Source organism: Homo sapiens, chromosome 9 (assembly GCF_000001405.40).
Source record: "Homo sapiens chromosome 9, GRCh38.p14 Primary Assembly".
In the NCBI taxonomy this organism is placed as follows: Eukaryota; Metazoa; Chordata; class Mammalia; order Primates; family Hominidae; genus Homo; species Homo sapiens.
In genome coordinates this window covers 82,527,933-82,554,274 of record NC_000009.12, presented here as the reverse complement: position 1 = coordinate 82,554,274, position 26,342 = coordinate 82,527,933, and the positions used below count along the sequence as shown (strand labels likewise).

General features: G+C 38.2%; 2 long non-coding RNA genes across 3 annotated transcripts in view; one reads left to right on the top strand and one right to left on the bottom strand.

Annotated features, from left to right (window-relative positions):
• Positions 1-25,319, top strand: part of LOC105376110 (uncharacterized) — a 72,772-nt gene extending 47,453 nt beyond the window's left edge. For both annotated transcript variants that reach the window (XR_001746780.2, XR_001746779.2), the window contains exons 4-5: positions 19,064-19,271; positions 21,364-25,319. This is a non-coding gene — a long non-coding RNA (uncharacterized LOC105376110). The remainder of the gene's footprint in view (positions 1-19,063; positions 19,272-21,363) is intronic.
• Positions 1-26,342, bottom strand: part of LOC107987087 (uncharacterized) — a 288,244-nt gene that overhangs the window by 225,921 nt on the left and 35,981 nt on the right. The window lies entirely within an intron of this gene.

Sequence of the window (26,342 nt, the reverse complement as noted above, 5' to 3'; positions counted from 1 at the left end):
CAGGCAGTGGAGGGAGGTGTAAGCACCCTATACAACGGGCCTTCCTTTGTAGCCATTCTCCTGCCATGCTGCATCTGATTACTCATTTTCGGAAGATGACTCATTGGCAAGATGATACCCAGTTCCCCTGTCTCGACTTGGTTTTGTAATCATTCCAGAAAGAAGGTTTGAGACCAGACACTTGTCTCTCCTTGCCACCTATTGAGATTCTTCTAGCCAGGCACCCCGCAGATTTCAAACAAATGCTGAGCATGGAGCAAAGTCAAGGAATCAGAACACGGATGAGTCTCTGGCCTTCTGAGTGATCCTGAAAGGATACTTTGAAGTCAATAGGCTCAACACGAAAATCAAAAGGAAGCCTGTGAATGCATGGAAAAGTGAGGATCATTTTCTTTAAAGTGAACTTCACTAGCATTCCCCAGTGACTCAAGAGCTGTTGGCAGCCCTCAGGTTTGCTGATACTGCCACAGTCTGGCGCTATCTATTACTGAGATGAAAGAGGCTGGTGTTATATTAAAATAATGATCATGTGAATGCCCAAATTAGATAGCACTGATGGGACATCATTTTGAATATTCAGAGAAGTTACTAACACTCATAAACCAACAGTTTTGTTTGATACTTGAACAACTTTTATACTTGAATTGAACATAAGCTCCCATTAGCACCAACAATTTCTATTTGCTGCACACGTACAAAAGTAATAACTTGAACTTCTGCTACTGAAATTCAAGACAAAGGAATCACCAAACATGTTGAGGAGATAAAGGTGCTCTGAAAGACTTATTTTTACAAGGATGAGAAATGAAACCGTATCTCCATCAAGGTTTGGAGGATTTCATGGAAATAAGGAACCAGGGCTTAGCAAAGCTTGGAAAATGGTGAGGGTGGTATTAGGTAGATGGGTGAAGTAGTTCCTACCCAGAATTTGCAGAGGGGTCTCTCGAGAGGAACAGCAGCAAGCAAACATTGGGATTTTAACTAAATTATTAACAGACAAGTGTCAGTTTGAAAGTTCATTAAAAATAATCATCTGGGATCCCCAGCCCTGATGTAATCAAGCCCAATTTATTATTGGAAAGTACTGGGTCAGGGCGAGTACCAGGGATGCATGGCCTCCCTTTTTCATATTTAGTTATGGTATTTTATTGAAACAGAGGCTGTACTCCAGTGATAGACATTTAGGGCATTTGCTGATAGAATGAATAGAGCATTATCATAGCATAGCTGTACTAATGATACTTGGCATCGAGTTAATAAAGGTGAGTGAATAACAGGTGTTTTCCTGATGAGGTGATGGCTTCTACAAATCAGGCAAAATGTGCTGAGGCTGGGTTCATAGCCTTTTCCTGGTAATTTTAGTTTATTGCCAGCATTAGAACAATAGCCCTTTATAATTTTAATCTGATTTGGATGTTGCAGTAGAATGCTGCCTCTGAAGTTTGTTCTCAGAGATTTTTCTTCTTCAAAGTGTATCCCTCTAGGATAGCCGTTAACTGTCTTAGTCTAGGATCCATAAGAAGAGGACCCTGAGGCAAGGATAGGAGTACAAGTAGATTATTTGGAAAGCAATCCTAGATAGGATTGCCAGATTTGGCAAATAAAAATGCAGGAGTTAAGCTACACTTGAATTTCAGATAAACAATTTTTTAGTGTGTTATACTCCATGCAGTATTTGTGGTAACTTGTGGTATACACACACACACACACACAAAACCTTGTTGTTTATATGAAATTCGAATTTACAAATTTACTTGAGTATCCTTTATCTGGCAACCGCAGTCCCATGAAGCTAAGAGAGTAGAGATGAGACCAGCAAGGGAAGGAGACCAATGCAGGGTAAATTAATGAGCAGGTTACCACTGCATGCAGTCCCCAGTTCCTCTGGGGACTGTGGGAAACTGTATGGAATATAATTCAGAGTTTTCCTATCTGGGGACAATGGAAGTTTGGGGCGTGTACCCACCATCTCCTTTCATCATTGGTTAAGGGCTGATCCTAGGGCCATAAGTCTCCCCACCCATTCTATTTTCCCTGAGTGAGGTGTGGGCAGGGTGGGGGTGGGGAGAACATTCCTGCAGTCACAGAAAGCACTTGGCAGATAATTGCAGTTACTTGCAGTAGAACAGTTGCAGGTTATAGTAAATGTTGGAACCTTGCATAAAAAGGGATATGAGCAAAATCCTGATAGTGCCTTGTTTGGTGACTTTGGGCAACTTATGGCATCTCTTTTTGTCTAAATCCTCAACTTCTTGCATGTCTCCCTAGAGGCTCTTTCTTCAGGACAGTGAGTTACTGATATCTTCTCTAGGAGAAGCTGCCTGTGTTCCCAGCATGGGGCAAAGAGGTGGGGCTGCTGTTCAACCAGTTTTGCATAATATCATTCCTCCAGCATTTTTTGAAAACCCTGCTTCTGTGAGATGCATTCTATTCTGCTGTCAGTTCATTAGAGCCTAACACAAGGTTCATAGTCTTCCATCATGCCTCATGTCTTAAAATCCTCCTAAGCAATTTCAGCACCTGCGTGGGTATCTCCCCTGACACCCAGGACTCCTCCTCCAGAGATGTCTACTTCTACTTCACCTCAGCCATCTGTTCCCTGGGATACACACTGCACTGGGTCATCATCTGGAACTGCTCCCCTACCCAGGGTAAATGTGCGTGCTGCCTCCACCAAGTCTTATCTTTCAGTTCTCTCAGTGAGTCACTCTAGATTTTCTCTTTGACCCCATTGAGACTTGGAATGCAATGAACCCCTCTACCAGCCTCACTCAGACTTCACTGCTTTTTCCATCCAGATGAGACTGCATGCCTCACTTACGTCTTCAAATTCGTTTTTCACCTGTGATTTTTCTAACACGCCAGCCTAATAAAACCCCCACACTCAGTCATCCATCTCTCCATCATTTCCTCTGTGTCTATGCCTGCATAATGGAGTCCTGTTGATGCCTCTAAAAAGTCTTGAACTTTTTTTTTTTGAGATGGAGTTTTGCTCATTCACCCAGGCTGGAGTGCAGTGGTGCAATCTTGACTCACTGCAACCTCCGCCTCCCGGGTTCAAGCAATCCTCCCACATCAGCCTCCCGAGTAGCTGGGATTAAAAGTCACGATCTTAAATGCACCCTCAATGCACCTGGCAATCTTCTATTTCCTAATGTGTTCTCTATCTTTGGATCTTTCTAGCAACTGTTTCCAACTTTCCTTCCTCAAATCTTCTATCTCTCTCAAACAACCCTCCCTATTTGTATATCCTCAGTCCTTCAATTTTCTTCCTCACTCTTAGGATGTGATTTTACCTTTTGCCTCCTACTTCAGTAAGAAAACAGAAACCACTGGATGAAAATTCTCACATTCCTGCCATTAAGATCACACATTTCCCATACTCTTCTTTTCTTCTGAAGCAAATGGAAGAAGGGTGTCTACTCTTCCTATAGTACATCCTTTGACATATGATATGAATTTCATTACCTTCCATCTTCTCTGGGATCTCAGTTACACCTTTTTTTTCTTTATCTCAAGCTTTCTTTTTCCACTGGCTTCTAGCCATCAACTTCTTTTCTTTTAATATGCTTTGACCAACATATCCTATCCTGTCCATCAACTGTTGAAATGTTCAAGTCGTTCCTATTTTATGAAAAATACTTTTTTCATGATTGCTTTCCCAGCTGTACTTTTTGAAAAAGCTGTCCATACTTGATGTCTTTACTTCTTCAACATCCATTTTGCTATTAAACTCACTGAAGTATAGCTTCTGCCTCTATTGATCAATTAAAATAGCCATTGTCTGAACTCAACAATTAAATCTTAGGTGCTCCATCAAGTAGATACTTTTTAGTATTATCTTACATGAATTCTTGGGAGCATTTGCAATGGTTGACCAGCTTCTACTTTTTGAAATGCTCACTTCCCTTGACTTCCTGATCCTGTGCCCTTTTGAGCCTCTTTCTTTGGCCATATTTTCTCAAATTCCTTTGGGGTCTCCTATACCTATAGTTTCCCTGTGAATGTTAAAGCTCCTCAATTCTCAGTCATAGACATTTTCCCACCCCATACTCTCTTTTCCTGGGTATCTTCCATGGTTTTAATTCCTATCTATTAAAAGCTCTCTTTGAAGATTTTAATTATCTGATATATGGATAACTTCTAGATCTTCTTTGTAGGAGTTTTCCATTTGATTATCCCATAAATAACTCAAAATTAACATGCCAAAATGGAAATAATCATTTGTCCTCTAGACCTGTTTCTCCTCCTATATTCCCTACATCAGTAAATGACATTATCTTTCAGCTACTTGTTCTAACCAAATATCTGGGCCCCATTTTCAATTTCTCTCTCTTCCATCTCTCCTCTCACAACTTATTATTCAATAACTCATTGTCTCTTACCAGTTTACCTCCAGAATATCTCTTAAAGCTCTGAACCATCTGTTATCACCATTGCTTTAGTTCTGGTTCACCCTTATCACTAAAGTGTTTTCCTTCCTCTTGTCTTGATCCCCTATATCTATTATTGATTGAATTTATTTAACTACTTGTAATAAGGAATCTGACTCCATAATTTAAGTTTGACTGAGGACAGATTTCAAGCCCCAACACTCCCATTTCCCTTTCTATCCCATATCTGGGCAGGCTGAAAAAAAGGGCAGGTGCTCCCTCGTTTGGTGCTAGTGGGAACTTGCACAGAACCCTTAATCTGGCCCCACCTCACAACCACAAAAAAGCCAAACCACTCTCTGTTCCCTGCTCTTTTAAGCCATTTTTTGGTCTTCCTTGGGAGCCTGCCCTACTCTCCTCAGGAAGCCATGGCAGGTGAGTAATAAACCTTTTCATACCCTCTTGGTGCATGTATGTTGTTATCGGTCTTGACATTATACCAAATGTCAATGGTCATTCTTGCTCTGCTGGATAAGCACAACACTCCTCAAGTGGGCCACGTGCTTCTTGCCTCTTGTTGCTCCCTGCACTTGCATCAGTCTCTCCTTATCACCCCTTCTAGTTGCTTTGGTCATTTCCTTTGGGAAGCCTGGTCTGTTTCCTTCTCATCCTTGACCCTGTCTGGTTTAGGTATCCCACTCATGTCCTCTGAGGGTATCCTGTCTCACTCTTAGCTTTGTCATGAGGACACAATAACATGGGAGTCACCCACCACCCCAAGCCATAAGCTCTAGGACAAAAGAGGCAATAGGTCTGACCAGTTCAGAGTTGGGGTATAATAAATAGGAACAAGATCCTGTGGAAAGCTCGGCAGTGAGACAATACATTGTACATTAATGTTACTCAATGAGCCAGACTGTGGTGGGACAAAGAGCTGGAGTCCTGATGAACAGGTAAAGCATGAGTAATGAAGAGCTCATCATATTTCTTGCTTTTCTTTAATTTTATACCTCCATGGAAAGCACCCCCCCCAATATTGAACAGCTTAAAAACTTGCCAACGTATTCTTATAGTATTTTTTTTAAAAAGGAGGATGCAGATTAAGAACACAGGAGATCACTGTACTTAATACTCGGGATAAGGAATTCAGCACGGTGTTTAGCTCTGAGCTTCCTGGCAACTAACACAAAAAGGAGAAACCAGTGTGTCATAATTCTCATTATCTGAATTATTTAAAATACCAGATGTTCAGAAAGTATGTGTTTATGGCAGTACATTCTGAAAATAAAAACAAAAAACAACCAATAAACATGTCAGGGATCATGAATTGTTACAAAAGGAACATTAATGCCACAGTGGAAAATGCCTCCTCAAGACAATGAGCACCACAATATTCTTTCAATTGGTTATATTTAGAACTATTTTTCCATTTTGAAGATTACAAAATTAACGAATCATAGGTACAGAATCAGAATGAGACGAATACAGACTTCATATCTAATTCCCCTCTGCTGGACATTTCTCTCTGGTACATAGTGGTCCAAAACAACACAGATCCAGATCTCAATAGAGGGATTGGGGGTGCTATCTGTCACTTCAACACACTGCTTCAGTCCATAAAATTCCTGGAGACAGAGCTATCTTTATGAGCCATCACACAGTTTTAGTAGGACATTTGAGGTTGGACTAAGTCCATGTTTGGCTGCTTATATTAAATTGTCATTCCAAAATTGGATGTATTTCAACAGGGCTGGCATGGGACACACTCATCTTTGCTATCACAAAGCCAATGAACCCAGACCTGTGTCTGCATTTATGGTGCCATACCTACCCCATTGTTCACCCATGGTTAATGGCACTAAAGCTGGCTCAGTGGAAAAATGAATACCCGAAGTATTTGGCCACTGTATTCTAAATTCAGATTATTTATAAAGCAATGTATTTTTCATTCAAAGTTGTTTTCACCACAGAATTTTTGTTTGGTTTGACTTTATATAAATTTTCATTTTGGTTCTGTAGTTTAGGCTGAAATAGGGGTAGACATTCCAGAATGCCAGGTGAAAGGCCAAGATAAGTATACTATATAGCAACCAGAAAATAATTAAAACCTCGAAAGAGACTCTTTTCAGCTACATCTTCCCTGCTCTTTCAAAAGCCGACATGAACCAGTCTTAACTTAAGTGACTGATGGAACTATAAACTGTGCTTTATTAAGCATATGCCCCGTGGTTTCTGATGACAAGCCAGACGCTAGACTCTGGCCTGCTGGCCCCTTGTAGAAGGCTGCTTTTTAAATCCATGTCACATCTCCAGATGTGTTTGCAATTCACAAACCTAGACAGCTGCCCCTCTAATTACCATCCAGCCCAGCTGTGGCCAGAGTCTACCAAAGTCATTTATGCTCCAGTTAGTATGAAATGAGTTTGCACCTTCAAAATGGAGGAAATAGAAACAATTTCATGTAAACAACAGTTGATGTAACTATTGCTAAAAAGCAACAATGCCTCCCCTACCCACCTTCAACTATCAGTTCTGTGTATGACTCCAAATATGTGCATTTCCTGCTAGTATCCCTGTTCAGCTGGCCAATAAAAAATTCCTTCAATGTCCTGCTGTGAGTTCCACATCACTGCCACAAAACACAAACTCACCATCCCTCTTGGAAACCAGCTGAAGCTTCGGATATTGACACCCTCCATTTTTTTTTTCAAGAACTAAATTACTGTCTTTAGATCTGGGTGAATTCTCTGCATGCCCAGCTCTCTGTAAGCAGGAGTGTACAAAACCCTACTTCTACCTGCAATTCTGAGATAAGTTAGTACCTTACTAATATAGAAGAAAACATCTAAGCAACTTTCTCATTGGGGTAAAGGCTTCCTCAATGTCTTAGTCTGTTTTGGGCTGCTATAACAAAAATATCTGAGACTGGGTAATAACAAAGAACAGAACTTTATTCTCTCAGAGTTCTGGAGATGGGAAGTCCAAGGTCAGTATGCTAGCATCTGGCGAAGGCCTTCTTGTTGCATCATCACATGGCAGAGGAGCAGAAGAGAGCAAACCCACTCCTGCAAGCCCTTTTTATAACAGCATAATCCATTTATGAGGGCACAGCCCTCATGACCCAAACACCACCAAAAGTACCTCCCCACAACACTACTACTGGGGATGAAGTTCCTAACACATGAATTTTGGGAGATAGTTTCAGACCATACCACTCAATATTCAACAGAATCAGATAAGTACGTTTAGCCTCACTGACAACTTCACGTTCTGCTTCCATACACATTTTCCCAATCCCACCATATAGTTAAAAATAAAAACAGTACTAACCAGTTAAAAAAAAAAAAACCCATTATGTAAGGAATCCTATAGCATTGCTTTTCCAGTGATAAATACTTCTATATCTATTAATGTTAAATTTCCACTTTTGTTTTCTTTTTTTTTTTTCTTGGTGCTCCTCCAGATTTGCACACTCCCTAAGAAAAGGCTTCATCTGCCTTTGTAAGGATCTCCAGCTGGCAGTATCAATGGCTCCTTAATGCTGATCATCCACATCTGTTGGTGCTCTCTTAATTGAATTCCAGCCTTCCCTGCTCACCAGACACTTCTTGTTTGCTGCTACTTAGGCTGCAGGTTTGAATTAAGATCTTAGAGTCCATTCCAAACTCCCTGTCTTAACCATGATCTGTACCTTTTCCTTTGGTGTCTGAGCCCTCTTGGCCCATGGCTCTCTGCTGGTTCCATCCCAAAGCCTTGCCCTGATCTGCAATGACTAGGCTCACCTCAGTTCCAGACTGTTTATCTGGACCCTTAATCATTCCTGACTGTGAGCTCCTGAGCCGTCCCAGAACCCTCTGGTCTTGGATCTTGCCTTTTCCTCTCAGTGTCTCCTTGACCTTCCTGCTATCAATTCTGGCTCTCAACTCTGACAACCACCACTGCCTGATGCCCCCCCGAAATCCTTATTTGAAACCTAGGAATCATATTCAATATTGTTCTTCTTTGTCCAGAATCACTTGTACAACACTCTTGGCTTCTCATAATATCTGTAGAGATCATTGTTTTCATGGAAGACTCCTGTTATAATTTTATTTTTATTCTTGAGATGGAGTCTCGCTCTGTCGCCCAGTCTGGAATGAAGTGACCGATCTCGGTTCACTGTAACCTCTGCCTCCAGCGATGAGATCCCGGCTGAATGCAACCTTTGCCTCCCTTGTTCAAGCCATTCTCCTGCCTCAGCCTCCCAAGTAGCTGGGATTACAGGTGCACACCACCACACCCAGCTAATTTTTGTATTTTTTAGTAGAGACAGGTTTCACCATGTTGGCCAGGCTGGTCTTAAACTCCTGATCTCAGGTGATCTGCCCACCTTGGCCTCCCAAATTGCTGGGATTACAGGCGTGAGCTAACGCGCCTGGCCTCCCGTTATAATTAATATTGGTCTAGTCTAGCTTTGTGCAGTCCCTACTATTTCCCATACATCTGAGACATAATTACCAGGTTAATCTTCTGGGAAATACTACTTTGATTGTAAGAACCCACAATTCAAGTATATGTCTATATTCTTTTTTGTTGGCAAAATAAATTGCAAACTCTACACATAGCATTTTAGAAATAAGCCCAAACCTATTTTTCTAACCAATATTTACTCATACTATCTACCTTATTCAACTGGTCAACATGCCATCCCCATAACATACTTCATGCATATGTACCACTCAGCTTTTTCATACTGTTCTCCTTTCCTAAAATACTTCATGCCACTGGCAGCATGGTTTTGAGTAAGTTAGATAGCCCATTAAGAGCTCCAGAGTACTCAATGTAAAATGAAGTTATGAGACAAGATTTTTTTTTTTTTAGATGGTGTCTTGCTCTGTTGCCCAGGCTGGAGTGCAGTGGTGCTATCTCAACTCACTGCAACCTCCAACTCCCAGGTTCAGGCGATTCTCCTACCTCAGCCTCCAGAGCAGCTGGGATTATAGGCATGCTCCACTAAGCCTGGCTAATTTTTGTATTTTTAGTAGAGACAGGGTTTCACCATTTTGGCCAGACTTGTCTCAAACTCCTGACTCCAAGTGATCTGCCTGCCTTGGCCTCCCAAATTGCTGGGATTACAGGCATGAGCCACTGCACCCAGCCAGGCAAGATGGTTTCTAAATTTTTTCCAGCTTAGAAGTCCATGATTCTACCCTCATCTGTATCCTTCAAGACCTCCAAGTTATTACTGAAGCCACCTGTGTCTGCTTTCACCCACATTGAGTGACTCTTTCCTGACTGTATTTTGCCCATCCTTTCTACTGTTCACTTGGCCCATAAACATATTCCTTCTCATATGCCTATTTAACTTGTCACGTGTCTGTATTTTCTCTCTAATTCCTGAATCACGGGACCTAAGTATCCCATCATCACCTTATAGTAGTGAGCACCCTATCATTATCCATTGATGGATGTTGAGCGAATCAAATCATTAGTGAAAGTTGCTGGAAAAATAAATTGGAAACATAGGTACCACAAGGGGACTCGTTAAATGTACTCTCACTGGTCTAATTGCATTTAATTAAGTCCCTTGAGGAATAATTGCCCCTTAGGCCATGTCATCCAAGGTCAATGTGACTCGTTTTAATCAGAACTTCTCCTAGGGGTGATGGCACAATTACATGGCATTTGAGGACTTGCATCTATGATTTGGTTAAGACATCATTTTAATTTTGTGTCTGAAACATCTGAATTCTCAAGTGTAGGAAGAAGACTTTGTAAATTAGGCCAAAGAACAGCCATTAAGGCCTACTTACACAGTCATTCCAGATTGCCTCCCTTGCTGTGGGCTTTCTTCTTAGAAGCCCTGGACTCAGGTCAGATGACATAATGACCTTGGGCAAAGTGGGTGTGAGAGGTAACTGAGGTTAAAGTGATGTAGTGCTTTTAATAAGTATAGTTGTGCTGTTTTATCTAAGAATGTAAGGTAAAATAAATTACTGTGTGGTACCTCTGAGTCACCATGGTGGCATTAGCCTCTGGACATGTTAACCAAGAAACTCATAAATATAATAGATTGATATTTAGGTTTTACTTTTTGGACAGATTTTTAATCATTACAATTATGGGCTGTGTCTTGAATCCACAGGAATCTGCTCTTTGATGCCAAGTGTATAGATTTCATGATCAAATAAAATGTTTGCAGGAATTGTGGTACAACTCTTGTCCATTTTGTCCCTCAAGTCTCCAGGAAATTTTTAGGTTGATTTAAAGATTTCTCACAGCTTTTTATTATTTACTCACAAAATCTGTTTTATGTAGAAGTAAGTGAACATTGTTGTCACTGTGTAGTTATTATAAAGGAACTGGGCCACTCATTGAATAACAAAATAAAAATACTGAACAGCAGTTTTGGAAACTAGGGATATGAATTCTTTTTATTTGAAGTAGGTGTGGAAGAGGGTGTTGGGATGGTGATACACAGTTTAGAAAAGATGGGTCATAGAGGGAGGGGAAGAATCATGGGACCCAGGTCAGCATCTGGGGCTTCATCCCAGTTCTGCCCTTAACACGGTCTTTAACCGTGAGCTAATCATTGATGTTTCTTTACCTTAATTTCTTCAACTATAAAATGGTAATCATAATTATTCTATCTACTTTTACTGAATTATTAAAATATTTTTTGAGATAATTTTTAAAGGCAAAAAAAGTACATTGCTATACATGTTTAATCTACTAATACTAATTATTTCTAGTTGCATTGAGAGCTGTTCTTTGAGCCACTTGGAAATAGCTCATTTCAACTTCATTTTTATCCACCCAGTTTCAAAACCTAGTCATTTGACGTATAAAGATAATAACTAGCAGCTCGAAGGACAGTGTTGAGGCACTGGCTGGCGATTCCATGATTCCTATTATCAAATGCACGTGAAACTTCTGACATATGCTAAACACTTATAAACAAGATAGAACACATTTAATTCATTTGCTTGTATCAAGAGCGAAATATAAAAGGTCTTATCTTCTGGCTTCCTTGATGATGTGTGACCTCAAACTGTTTTTAGAATGGGAAGAATTCAATTCATTATTAAAAGAGTTATTTTCTATGTGCAATTACTATCTCTAAGATGCCTCAACAATACAAAGGGGTAATGAAAACAAACAACAAAACAGAAACGAAGAATAAGGATTAGCGTTTTCAACCCTGGATTAAAATCTGAAAAATATCAGCCACAGCATAGTAAACACAAGAAGTAACTTTAAGGTCTGAATTAATCTAGGGATGGCATTAAAGAACAGCCATTGGCTTCAGATAATAGTATCGTGGTTGGTCCTAGTATTAATAGTTTAGCCAAGAGTGTGCTGAGAAAACATGACTGAAAACCCTGGCTCAGTGGTTAGATGGGTGACCCTGGGCGAGTGAGTTAGGTTGGCAGAGGTGGGGGAAATCATATATCTCTGCTGTAAATGGTAGAGATTTGTACTAGATGATTTCCAAGTGTCCTTTTGAATGCTTTGTGGGAAGTAATATAGGTAATATATCAAATAAAGCCATATCCCTGAATAAAACCAGGCACGGCTCATCATCCCTCCTCCTTTTCTGAGTTTCCTCCACCAATACCTCTTCACTTTATAGGTTCCATACTCCCTTCAAAGCCACCTACCTGAATCTTCACATATGAAGAATTATGTAGCACATATTAGATACTTAGCATGTACTACCCTACAATATTGTTCCATTTTATTTTACAATTCTCTCTGTTTCTCCAGGATTTCTGGCACTTAACTTAAGGTTTTGCATATAGTAGGCATTCAATGGCTAATAATGAGTGTATAATAAAGTTGGATATATTTCTTATCAACCTAGAGAGGCAGTCACTATGCCTTGGAAGAATAAAGACTGGGGGAGATGATGGGAAAAGAATGGTTCTTGTCAGTAGACACACATTGTTTGCCATCCTAGCTTTCCCATATACTACGTGACCATGAGCAAATTACTTGATCACTTGGTGTTATTTTTACTCCACTTGTCAAATGGAACTCTTCTCTATCTCTTCTTAAAACAAATCTTTTATTTTAGATATAGAGGGTACATGTACATATTTATTACATGGGAATATTGTGTGATGCTGAGGTTTGCAGTATGGATCTTGTCACCCTGGTAGTGAACACAGTACCTGATAGGTAGTTTTTTAACCTACCCTCCCTTCCCTCCATCCTTTAGTAGTCCACAGTGTCTATTTTTCCCATATTTATGTCCATGTGTTCTGTATCTTCTAAACAGCCTTTTGAGGGATGGGGGAAATTGCCAGGGATGAAGGAATGAGAGGTAACCAAGGTGAGCAGGTATTCAAGATATCAGCTTAGCAGTCTTCAAACACTATGGACTTTTGATCACTCTAGAGCTGATAAATTGCATCTTATATGATTGTGAAAAGAAAAGATTGCTAACAGCTTTTAAATCAAACTTGGAGCTGAGAAGAAGATGCCAAATTCCAAATACCATCACATCAAACCCACACAAGAAGCTGCAACTCTTTTCTTTCTTTTCTCCTGGCACCAGCTATTTTCCTGACCAGGCCTAGGTTTCTGGAGCAGGAATATTTATTGGTCCTTCCCTTGGTGGATTCAGGTTTCAAGGGGTCTGAAATTAGGAAATTTTGGAGGCTCTATATAAGGAAAATAATGCACAAGTATGTATCTAAAACTAGCTATAAAAATAAATACGTTTTAGAATAAGTAAATCACAAACTTTAAAAAGCTAAAAATTGCACCACCTTGCAAAATTCAGAAAAAAAACACTTGAAAAAATGCCAATGAACTACACACACCTCTTCTCTCCTACATTTTTTTGCCGTATATGCTTTCATTACCCATAATATAACAATGATTTTATATTTTTTCAATAAAAATAGAAATAATTGAGTTTCTTTTAGCATAATTAGTCATGCTAAGTCATGTTTTTCATTATTGATAATTTAGCAAAGATTCATTCAAATTCACAACTTTTTATTTGCAATTCCACGTAACATTTCAGAATTACTGTCAATTTAGGAAAACATTCTTCAAATATTTTTCGTATGTGAACAGAAAGATTTTAGGGAATTTTACATTTCTTTGTGTGTAACTAATATTAAATACTTGTCACTTAAGAGTTTGTCATCGGTGTCCTCATAGTAATGGCATATTATTAGTTTTATATTATCTCTGTTGTCATTATTTCATGGGAAACCAACATGTATGCTGGATTATAAGAATGGCTACATTTTAAAAAATCCATGCCTTTTAGTAGAATCCTTCCACAATAACTTAGCCATGGGAACTTACTTTCATAAAATATTACCAAACATGATTTAAGCTGAGCCCTAAAAAGCACTTGGATTTGGGACTTGCCCCTGCTTGCTGTCATTGGAAACAGTGCAATTGCCATCATGAGAATAAGTCCTGACCTGTTTTCCAAATAATGAGAGACTGTGGCCTAGTCATTGTGTCATGCTAGTTGATGACCAGCCAACTGCCAAACTTGTAAAGGAGGATATTCCAGTCACCAGCCTTCAGATGACGCCCGCTTTCCCAACCCCAGCTGACTGCAGACATGTGAGTTTGATTGCCCAAGATCAGAAGAAGAGTTGCCCAGCCAAATCACCAAGTGTTGAATAGTGAGCTAAATAAATTGTTGTTTTAAGCCAGCAGTTGGCAAACATTTTCTCTAAAGGACCAGATAATAAATGTTAGGTTTTTATATTAGGTTTTCTGCTGCCTCTGTTACATTTCTTTTCCTTCTCCTTCATCTCTTTCTCCTCCTCTAACTTCTCCTCCTCTTCCTCTTTTTTCTCCTACTTCTCTTTAAAAATATAAAACCTATTCTTAGCTTGTGGAACATAAAAATATGGGCTACAGGCCAGATTTGGTCCATAGGGTATAGGGTAAACCATTAATTTTAGGGGAAGTTTGCTACACAGCAAAAGGTAATTGATAGAGCAAATAATTTAACTATTTTCCCAAAAGCATTCATATGATTTATTTATCTTCATTATTGGATTCACAACAATCCCAGGGCCTGATCATTCCTTCTATTCAAAATGCATCTTATCAACTTAGTGAATTTTTGTTTTTGGTATGGCATAAAAATACTTGGCATGGTATGAAAATCTATACATAGAGTTGACTATATCTCATATGAATATATGGGGGTTGACTCAATATATACATGGAGTTGACTGCATCTCACACGAACCCAACAACTGTCTCTTAAGTTTAACTTCCACTTAGCCGTAACCCAAAAATGCTCATGGCCACTCCAATACCATCCATCAAGGGGGAAGTGTGATAGGGGAAAATGAGAGTGAAAAGAGACAGCAGACTTAACCAATTACAGTTAAAATATATTCCCCCAATAAATTAAAATGATATGTATGAGCATGTTAGGAATCCTTCCAGGGATAGAGCCCATACAAATGATGGGACATGCAACTTCAGTATTATTAGCTTCTTTATAAATCTACCTCTGTAACTTTCAGACCATTTAAATCACATTAGAGGAAGCGAGCATGAGCTCAAGTGGGTGAGAGGCACTTATTGCCCAATTCCATTAAGAGACAGAGTTTATTTACAAAAATGGCTGCCTTCCCCCTGAGTTCCCAAGCAGTAAAAGAATTTTTAGCATAAGTTGACTATATGTGCACCATAGTCTCCATGGGAAACAAGTACAGCTAAATATTTCCATGTGTTTTTCCCCAACTTCAACGTATAAGCAACATTTTTAGCTTTAAAACATCTACTTTTTAAAATTGCGTTTTATAATATATCCTTAGAATTTCATTCATCAACTCCATCTATCTGCTATCTATTGGTAACATGGGTCACAGATGATACAAAGAATTATGTCTTTGTAAAATTATTCCCACAATTTAAATGTTATTACTTACCAAAAACTCTTTACTGATCAACAATGTGAAAGTGCTTCCTCTTGGCCAGGTTAATTTAAAATAGTGTTGTGGTTTGGGGAAAAAAAAATAGGTTTCCATGAGATTTTCCTTATCTCTGTTTCCCATCTGGCTTGCTGTTATAAACATTTAATCCAGTGTTTGCTGCCAATGTTTCCCAGAAAGCCTTATAATTGCTTGGAATTTGTATGAACAGTTCCAGTCTGGTGCACAATTAGGGATGCACTATAAAATTTTCATTGCTTGATTTAGTTGAAATTATAAGATGGATAGGGAACAATAACACCCATAGTTGTAGACTATAAAAACGACTACTAGAAATTTGCAAATAATAATACCTATAGATTAAAATTTTGGTGGGTAGCTGTGAGCCCCCAAACAAAGAAATCTTACAGCCAAACATAGATCTAGAATATTTAATTAGAAACTTTATATGGGAAAAAATAAGTTGAAATTTAAAATCGTACAAGGTACAAGAGGAAAAGAGGGAAGAAAGACTCATTGCCCTGTGCTTTCTTTAGTGCAAATATGTACTGATTCCTGTAAGAAGCAATATTTTTCTCTGGTCCCGTATATCTAAGGAAAGAGAGACGTAAGCAAATAGTGACAAAAGGTGATTGGTATCAATATACTGCCAAGATTTTGCAGATTAATCCAATTGGCATTTCTTCTGAAATAAGCTAATTGCAAAAGTCCTTTCTAAAGGACTTCTTGTCATGCTGTGGACTATAATTTCCACTGCTTCTATAGTTCCTGAGGCTCCCAAATTGCTCTACCATTGGCCACACCATTAGAGTATATTCATTACTTTAAGAGAATGGTAGTTGGTCTGTGCCAGTTAGTGTCTGTGAGTGTTTATGTTGCCAACATCTAATTGAATAGTATACAGTCCCATGCTTGCAGTTCAAATGTTTCAGCTCTGTGTGCATATAAAATTAAAAGAATAACACTGCTGGGATCTTGGCCTAAAAATGCACTTGAGTGGAGGAGCCAGGTGAAATGTAGATAATCCAAACAGAGGTGAACTGGGATTTCTGAAACCTTCTTGCTATGGAAGGCCTGCTGTGAGAAAACCAGTGTTCAAAGTGAGAAAATGCATTAGCTGTTAAGTCTATTGGGGTAGAAAAGCCAATGTCATAGCAACTCACTATCACACATCCAGAAGTGTCATCAATCTCTCTATCATCTATCTATCTATCTATCTACTTACCTACTCATTATCTATCTATCTATCTATCTATCTATCTATCTATCTATCTATCTATCTATCTACTTACCTACTCACCTGCCTACTTACCTAATACAGACAGAGATTGCCAGGAGCTCTACTGGTCCATCTACAGGTGAGAGGACTCAGGGGAGAAAACTAGCCTATCTAGGGAGTGTAGAGTTTCCAGAGCCATGTGAAACTCACGCCAAATTTATAATGGAACCTGGAGGAATACAGTAGTCACATTATGGCTCAAGAAGTCATTTAAACCCCAAATTTCCAAAGCCCTGAGGACTGAAGATGTAGAAAATGTTTCTAGAACTCTGTACAAAGTAAATGTTGCTATTTACATGTTTGACACTTCTGACTCATCAACTATTATTCTATTGCTTAGTTTTCCACGGATATTTGTTTACACAACTTACATACATCAAACTTTTTTTTTTTTTTTTTGAGACGGAGTTTCACTCTTGTTGTCCAGGCTGGAATGCAGTAGTGCAATCTTGGCTCACTGCAACCTCTACCTCCCCGGTTCAAGTGATTCTCCTGCCTCAGCTTCCCTAGTAGCTACGATTACAGGCACCTGCCACCATGCCTGACTAATTTTTTGTATTTTTAGTAAAGACAGGGTTTCACCATGTTGGCCAGGCTGGTCTCGAACTCCTGACCTCAGGTAATCCACCCACCTCGGCCTCCCAAAGTGCTGGGATTACAGGTGTGAGACACCACACCCGGCCCAAAGTTGATAGTTTTATACCATCTTTCTGTTGAGGTAAAAATGCCACAGTCCTGTGCCATTCTACCCTGATTTTAGTGACTGTGGCCTAAAATTCCACCCTGATTTTAGTGACTATGGTGAGAATGACAAGGTTTTGTCTTTGGGTGGATTTTAAGCAATAAAGAAAAGCCCATTGTGAGTAGATTCACACAGTCCTGACTCTGCTATTTAATACCTGATTTATATTAAACAATTCACAGTCAACAATTTGCAATCTTGTGAAGCTCAGTGTCTTCATTGTAAAATTCAGTCTAATGGCTCTAGCCCACCATACAGATTATTCTGACAATACAATAAATAATGATTTTTCTTCCCTAGTACTTTTCTCTCTCCAGATTAATCATATGGAGGAGTACAGATAACAACTTGCATCTGTTTTTCTTTTTGTTTTAAATTCAACCTCATGCTTTGATGTCAGGCAATTCTGTCATTATTGTATTATGCTGTATATAAGATCATGAGTTTCATAGACTCTCCTTTTTCTTGTAGATAAAATGAGAATAACAGTAATTACATCAGAGAGTTGTTAGAATTATTTAAAAAGATTCTATGTGTATATGTGTGTATGTATACGTGTGTGTACATATACATAGCTACGTATATACTTTGTACAGTGAGGCAGTAAGTTGCTTAATAAATATTAATGTACTTGTTATTGTTAATTTTTTATATGTATAATGTTATGAACATTCAAGGTAGCAATGTGTTCGAAGAGAATATATATTTTTGAGTGGCTCAGAGAATAAAATGTTTTCCATATTTGGAAAGAGGCTTATGATTATCTATGTATTATCCAGAAAACTTGTGGCTGTAAAGATACATCTCAAATTTGGCTTACACCAAAAGCCAAAACACTTGGAACACAGTGTCACCTACATTGTAAATTAGTAGATCAGAAATCTTAGGCTAATTTCTAATCTTCTCTTCCGTCTTTTCACCTGTGAAAACAGATTTAAAAAACTTTAATATACTACTATCCTGTGAAGAAAATGTGGCCACAATCAGAGATATGGGCCTCACCTATGAGAGAGTAACTACACAATTCCAAATTTCCTTTCCATTCCCTTCCCTTCCCTTCTTATGAACCTATTGAACTGCCAGTTAGTATGAAAGTTAAAGTGTGAGAAACCACAAAAATGTCTCAAACCCCTTCATACCAAGCTCTAGAAATTACTTGGAAATGAAGATAACCACAAAACGAGGACAACATTTTGAAGTTTCTCAAGCCCACTTGTCCACAGAAAGGACTGATTGTGAAGGTATTCTTAATGTTGCCTCTCAAGTTTCCTCTTTAAAGGAAAAGAAACTAAATCTAGCTTGTGGCTTTAGAAAGCCCAAGAGTTTTCTTGCTTTGTAATAAACGTCTTCAAGAAGCATTTCTGCACTCTGGGTTTCTGTAGAAAAAGGTGGTGTCTGTGACTTTAAATGTGAGGCATATCCAGTGTTAGACTAATTCAGTCATTAATTCTGCCCCTTTGAAAATGTAAGAAAAGGATCTAAAGTAACAGCATAGTATCTGTCCTCAAGAGAAAGAACCTGGTCTGTACAATTGCCTCATAGAAGCTTCTTTTTAGTGCTTTTGAATTCACTTCCCTGGGGAATAACATACAGAAATCCCTGAAAGCATTTTGGAGTGACACTGCTGAGGTATCCTGGGAAGTATTGCTGAGTCCCTTCCAGTACAAACTTGATCTCTATTACCAATTTCTGACCTATTTAACCTCTCTGTATTTAGCTTGAGAAAGCTGAATTACAGGGCCCATAATATTTGTAACTTAAGTCCCCAAATAGGATGTTATAGAGATGAATGAAGCAATGTTTCCAAGATGCTTGGAGGTCTGGGATGAAAATCTGCTGAAACAGAGCAAAAAGCTAAGTCGTGATCAGCCTTGCATACAGCGGAATGTAGATCCTCGTCATCGGATTTGGACCCAGTGTAGACAGCACCTGAGCATCAGTCAACTCCACCTTCTAAAGCCTGTGTTTAGGTGGGTAAATCAATGTGAATGCACACGGTCACCGCAACTGACTCTTTCAGTCTGTGCTGTCCATTCATAGCCTAACTTGTTTTTAAAGATGCAGACTACTGTAACCTCTGCATCCCTTTGTCGTGTATTGCCACTTGCTTTTAAGATATCAAGTACCTTTTCCTTTTCATTCTTAACTTCTGGCACCATTTTATTATAGCTGTCCTTTGATTTTTTTAAAAAAAACATTTAATACTATTACGTATATACACCTTTAATGTCATTTAAAAATATAAAGTCAAAAGTGAGAATGAGGGAACTCAATCGGATTAAAATGTATTAAAGGTCAATGCTATTTAACCCATATTATATTAGTTTGATCCTTAGAAGGAATTTTGATGACAATCACTAGATCAAGTTAGGAAGTTATATTAATGCTAATGCCTGTTTATAGGCTTTTAGGATAAAGGTATATTCATTGGCTTCCTGTTTTAGTAACATCCTGAGACAGACCTATTTAAAATCTCCTCTTTAATCAGAAGTAATCATGGTGCCTAATACTCTTTCCTTAGTGCACATCTCTGCCTCCCTCTTGTCTGCTCATGCCCCAACACAAGCACACGGACATACCCATGGAAACAGTTATTAGCCAGGGACGGGTTATTAAAATGGAACCGATAGAGGTCCATGTCAAGATGTAGCTGCCAAGAAGTATCCTTATGGTAGGTCCTCCCTTACTGACTGTCCCTAAAATTCTTTGATAACTCAACCCTTATGTAAGAAATTGAATATTGTCAAAATGCAAACATTTATAAATGTGGCAATACTGATATCTCAGAAGTCAAGGGAATGAAAAGGAATACAGATCAGGGAACAGAAGAAGTATGTCTGTAGAATGGGATGGTACTAAGCTGGCATGCAAGTAAAGAAAAAGGGGGCTTCTGGACAGTAAGCTAATAACAAGATAGCAGTGCAAATACAGAAATGATGATGGAAGCCCAAAAACATAGTGGAGAGGTCCACCATCATGGTGACAAGGCCTAATATTATGTCACATTGGAAAGCTAAGGGAGTACAAATGTTCTACGTGGTAAAGAGATCCACTCAAATGGATCCTAATAACTTCATGCAAATATGTGTAGGGATCCCTGTTACTGGAATGCTTAACATGAGACTGGTTGACAAGTTGATGTGAATGCTGTAGAAGAAATTAAAGCCCCGGGTGCAGTGGCTCACATCTGCAATTCCAGCACTTTTGGAGGCCGAGGCAGGCAAATCACTTGAGGTCAGGAGTTCAAGACTAGCCTGGCCAACATGGTGAAAACCTGTCTCTACTAAAATAAAAACAGAAAAATTAGCCAGGCGTGGTGGCGGATGCCTATAATCCCAGCTACGTGAGAGGATGTGGAGGTTGCAGTGAGTTGAGATTGCACCACTGCACTCCAGCCTGGGGTACAGAGCGAGACTCCATCTCAAAAGAAAGATATGGGCCTCACCTATGAGAGAGTAATTACACAATATAAAAAGAAATTAAAGCACCACAGATGTTGAGTTGGACTAAAAATATGGGGCCAGTTTTTTGAACTATACTTCCGTGACTTTATAGAATTTTTGATGGCTGACTTAAATTATGTATACTTACATTGAAATGTGAATGGGAAATAGTATTTATTTTGCATCTACCAGAACTTTGTATTCTCTATGTTACTTCATTTAGATGTCTTAACAATTCTGTGAGGCACTTATCTTCATCTATCAGATGAAGAAACTGAGCCTTGGAGACAATGAATAAATTGACTGGGACTTTTACTCAGCTGGTAGATGTTATACCCACAATTTAAAACTAGGTTTTTCTGGCTTCCAAGTCCATGGCCTTTTTACTAAACATCCCCCAACCAGAGGAACTAAACTCTGTCCCAGGCTCATGGTGCACTGATTCAACCAATGTTCATAATTTCCAAGCACTGTCAGTGCAAAGCATCCCTGCAGAGGAGGAGGCACAGTGAAGAAGATAGTGAGCATATGCCACCAGTCTTTGAGAAATACTGCCCTTTAGTAGCCTGGAGCTCTTCTGTTACTGAATCACTATAATCAAGTGTTTTTTTTTTTCCAGCCACTGCATCAAAAAGCAAAAGTACCAATGGACATTCTTCACCCTGGTTCAGCGTTTCTTCAGCCAAGTGCTTACTCAAGGAACCAAGAATAAGAGATAACAATTTTTTAAATATGCAGAAACCCACCAATATGAAAAAAGAAGATTGAAGGCCTTATAAAATATAAATGTTTCCTCACTGGTGACAGCCCTGCCACTATTAAGCATTGGTATATTAGTCCCCAAGACATTTACTGCCATCTGTTGGAAAATTAGTAGAATGAATACATTAATCTAAGATGACCACAAACATACATGTCATCACATAGTTTTGTGTAGTGTACAATCTACAACATACGAGGATGCAAACCAAAAGTTTTGAGAAGGGATAATCATGCTTAAAATAAGCCCCACAGACAATATTATTACCATTATTTTTCATTGATAATGTATTCAATTAGATAGTAGACATTTGAGGAAATGACAAATAAGAAAGATCTAATTGTGACATAATTTATTCAATAATTCATTTATACAGAAAATATTTATCAAGTGTCTATAATGAGTCGAGCTTTATTCTGGGATCTAGTTATAGAGCAATGAATAAATAACACAGACAAAATTATCTCCCCTTACAGAGTTTCTGTGGGGAAAAACAATAAAGTTTAGATAAGTATGTCATTTATGAGATAGTAATAATTGCTAAAGACAAAAAGTCAAGGATAAGAAATACAAAAATGTTGGGTGATAAGTAGTTTGAGAAAAAACTTAGGAAGTTCACACAGTGGGGAATAGTTTGTGTCACTTTAGTCATAATGAAAGGCCTTATCATATATAGGCATCAAACAGTCTTCAAAAGAATATTGCCTTAGTACTGGGGCTACATTGACTCTAAACCAAAAGCTGCTCTGACCTGCCCTAACAAAGTTCAAAACAAAGACTTGAAAGAATGCAACTAATCCCAACTAACTTGACTTTATGCCAGAACAAAATCCAACATGATTTAAAGAAAAACAACCAAATTCAGCAAACAGCAATAAAAATTTCACAATGCTTGGTATCCAATCAAGTATAATTAGTTTTGCAAAGTAGGAAAATTTATCCAAAACCAAGAAAAAATTAATAAAAGCAGATTTTAAAAGATCAGAGCTGATAAAATTAGGAGACAGAGACATTGAGACAGCCAGGCTAAGTATATCCAATGTGTTTAAGAAAATAGATGAATATATAAGAATCAAGAGAAAAGAAATGGTAGATTTTTTTAGATGATATTAAAAGTAGATTTGACACTGTAAAATAAATAATCAATGAACTTAAAAATATAAAAATAAATAAAGTGCAGAGAGAAAAAATAAAAATAAAGATCAGAGTATCCATGTCCTGAGAGAATATCAAATAGTCTAACATTTGTGTAATTGGTGTCCTAGAAGGGTAATGTGCAGAAAAAGACACTAATAAAATAAAATAAATCACTAACATTTTCCAAATTTGGTGAAAACTATAAAATTTCCTGTACTGGGTTGAATAGTGTGTCTCCCTCCCAAACTCAAGAAACACACACACCAAATTCATGTCCATCCAGAACCTGTGACAGTGACCTTAGCTCGAAATAGGGTTTTTGTAGATGTAATCAAGTTAAGAAGAGTTAATGCTAAACTAAGATGTACCCTAATCTAGTGACTTGTGTCCTTGTAAAAACAGGAAAATTTGTGCACAGAAATATGTGAAGAGGTCATGTGAAGACATAAACAGATATTGGAGTAAGGTATCTACAAGCCAAGGAACACTAAAAATTACTAGCAACCACCAGAACCAAGAAGAGACAAGGAAGGAGTCTTCCCTAGACCCTTCAGAGGGAGCATGGCCCTGCCAAAATCTTGATTTCAGACTTCTGTGTTCTATAAGTGTGAGAGAATAAATATTTGTCATTTTAAGCCACATAGATTGTGGCAATTTGTTATAGTGGCCCTAGGAAAACTAATATACCCACAGACCCAAGAATCTCAATGGACCCCAAGAAGAATATATAATTAAAAAATCATGCTGAGAACCATCATAACTATTTTTAAAAATAAAATTATGGGTCTATGACAAAGGAACATAGGAATCACCCTGAAAGGGCTCCAAAAGCTCAGAGCTAGAATGATTTGAGTAATAACATGAGTAATGTAGTTTTAGACTCTAACCCAAAGCATAAATTAAATATCCACAAATCTATACTGATATAAACACATGGTTTACTAAATAAATTAGGTAGAATAGATAAATCCCATGTACAGAAGAATTCCAAATAATTTGTGTACATATTGCCAACTACAAGCATTAACTTAAGCAGTGGCAATGCCCTCAAGTTTGAAGATATTTTTACTGAGTAAAACATTTTTGATTACTTTAAAAACAAATCAAATATTTTCTTAAGACACATCTGAAAGAATTCATCACCATTATGTCTACACTACAAAAAATGTTAATGATAGTTCTTTAGGCAGAAGAAACTGACACCACAAAGAAACTGACACCACACCATAAAGGAATGAAGAATGCCAAAATGGTAACAACTGGGTAAGTGTTAGAGATATTTGTCTTTCTTTTTGTTTTTTTGGACAAAGTTTTGCTCTTTTTGCCCAGGCTGGAGTGCAATGGCACGATCTTGGCTCACTGCAATATCTGCCTCCTGGCTTCAAGTGATTCTCCTGTCTCAGCCTCTCGAATAGCTGGGATTACAGGTGCACGCCACCACACCCAGCTAATTTTGTATTTTTAGTAGAGATGGGGTTTCACCATGTTGGCCGGGCTGGTCCTGAACTCCTGACCTCAGGTGATCCACCCACCTCAGCCTCCCAAAGTGCTGAGATTACATGCATGAGCCACAGCTCCCAGCCTTGTTTTTTTAGATGGAGTCTCACTCTGTCACCCAGGCCGGAGTGCAGTGGTGTGATCTTGGCTCATTGCAACCTCTGCCTCCCGGGTTCAAGTGACTCTCCTGCCTCAGCCTCCCAAGTAGCTGGAACAACAGGCATGTGCGACCACACCCAGCTTATTTTTGTATTTTTTAGTAGAGATGGGGTTTCACCATATTGGCCAGGCTGGTCTCAAACTCCTGACCTCAGGTGATCCACTCACCTCAACCTCCCAAAGTGCTGGGATTACAGGAATGAGCCACCACACCCGGCCATTTTTCTTACTTTTAATATTTTTAAAAGATAATACCTGTTTAAAGCCAAAATAATAATAAATTTTTGAATTTAAAATATGTAAAAAATGTATAACCAAAATAACACAAACGATGGGGTAGTTGATGAAACTACGTTTTTGGGTTTCTGATATTATATGTGAAGTGGTCTTCAGGTAGGCCATCATAAATTAAAGAGACATATTTTAAACCCTAGAACAATCCATGCTAAAAATAAAACAAATGAAAAAATAACAAAAACAATAAAACCCAAAGAGATATAACTAATAAGCTAAGAGGGGAGATAAAATTGAATAATTAAAGAAAAATTTCAACTAATTTAAATAAGTTAGAAAAGTAGATAAAATGAAAGAACAGTTGAGAATAGAGCACAAATACCAAGACTGTAGCTTTATGTCAAACCATATCCATAATTAAATTAAATTTTAAATTTTTAAAATTTCAGTTAGTAGTCAAAAACTGTCAGATTGGATAAAAAGCAAGACCCAACTACCTCCTGCATTAGAAGACATATGATGACATAAGTAAGTTCAAAATAAAAGAATAGTAAAAGATATTCCATGTTAATAGTAATCAAAAGAAATTTGGAGTGGCTATAATAACATCAGACAAGGTAGACTACAGGGAAAGGAATAGTATAAGATATAAGAAGAATATTGCATAATTACAAAAGGATAAATTTATCAAGAGGAATTAAAAATTTTCAAACTACATGAAACATTTGGGTTGGTTCCAAGTCTTTGCTATTGTAAATAGTGCTGCAATAAACATACATGTGCATGCCTCTTTATAGTAGAATGATTTATAATCCTTTGAGTAATATACCCAGTAGTGGGATTGCTGGGTCAAATGGTATTTCTGGTTCTAGATCCTTGAGGAATCGCCACACTGTTTTCCACAATGGTTGAACTAATTTACACTCCTACCAACAGTGTAAAAGCATTTCCATTTCTCCACATTCTCACCAGCATCTGTTGTTTCCAGACTTTTTAATGATTGTCATTCTAAGTGGCATGAGATTGTATTTCATTGTGGTTTTGATTTGCATTTCTTTAATGACCAGTGATGATGAGATTTTATTCATATGTTTCTTGGCCACATAAATGTCTTCTTTTGAGAACTGTCTGTTCATAAACTTTGCCCACTTTTTGGTGGGGTTGTTTTTTTCTTGTAAATTTGTTTAAGCTCCCTGTAGATTCTGAATATTAGACCTTTGTCAGATGGATAGATTGCAAATATTTTCTCCCATTCTGTAGGTTGCCTGTTCACTCTGATGATAGTTTCTTTTGCTGAGCAGAAGCTCTTTAATTAGATAGATTGGATAAAGAAAATATGGCACATATACACCCTGGAATACTGTGCAGCCATAAAAAAGAATGAGTTCATGTCCTTTGCAGGGACCTGGATGAAGCTGGAAACCATCATCCTCAGCAAACTAACACAGGAACAGAAAACCAGACACTGCATGTTCTCACTCATAAGTGGGAGTTGAACAATGAGAACACATGGACACGGAGGGGAACATCATACACTGGGACCTGTCAGGAAGTGGGGGAAAAGGAGAGGGAGAGCATTAGGACAAATACCTAATGCATGCGGGGATTAAAACCTAGATGATGGGTTGACAGGTGGAGCAAACCACCATGGCACATGTATACCTATGTAACAAAACTGCACGTTCAGCACATGTATCCTAGAACTTAAGATAAAATTTAAAAAAATACATGAAGCAAAATCTGAGAATTTAAAGGTGATATAGACAAATTCACAATTATACTTTGCTATTTCAATATTTCTTTATAACTGA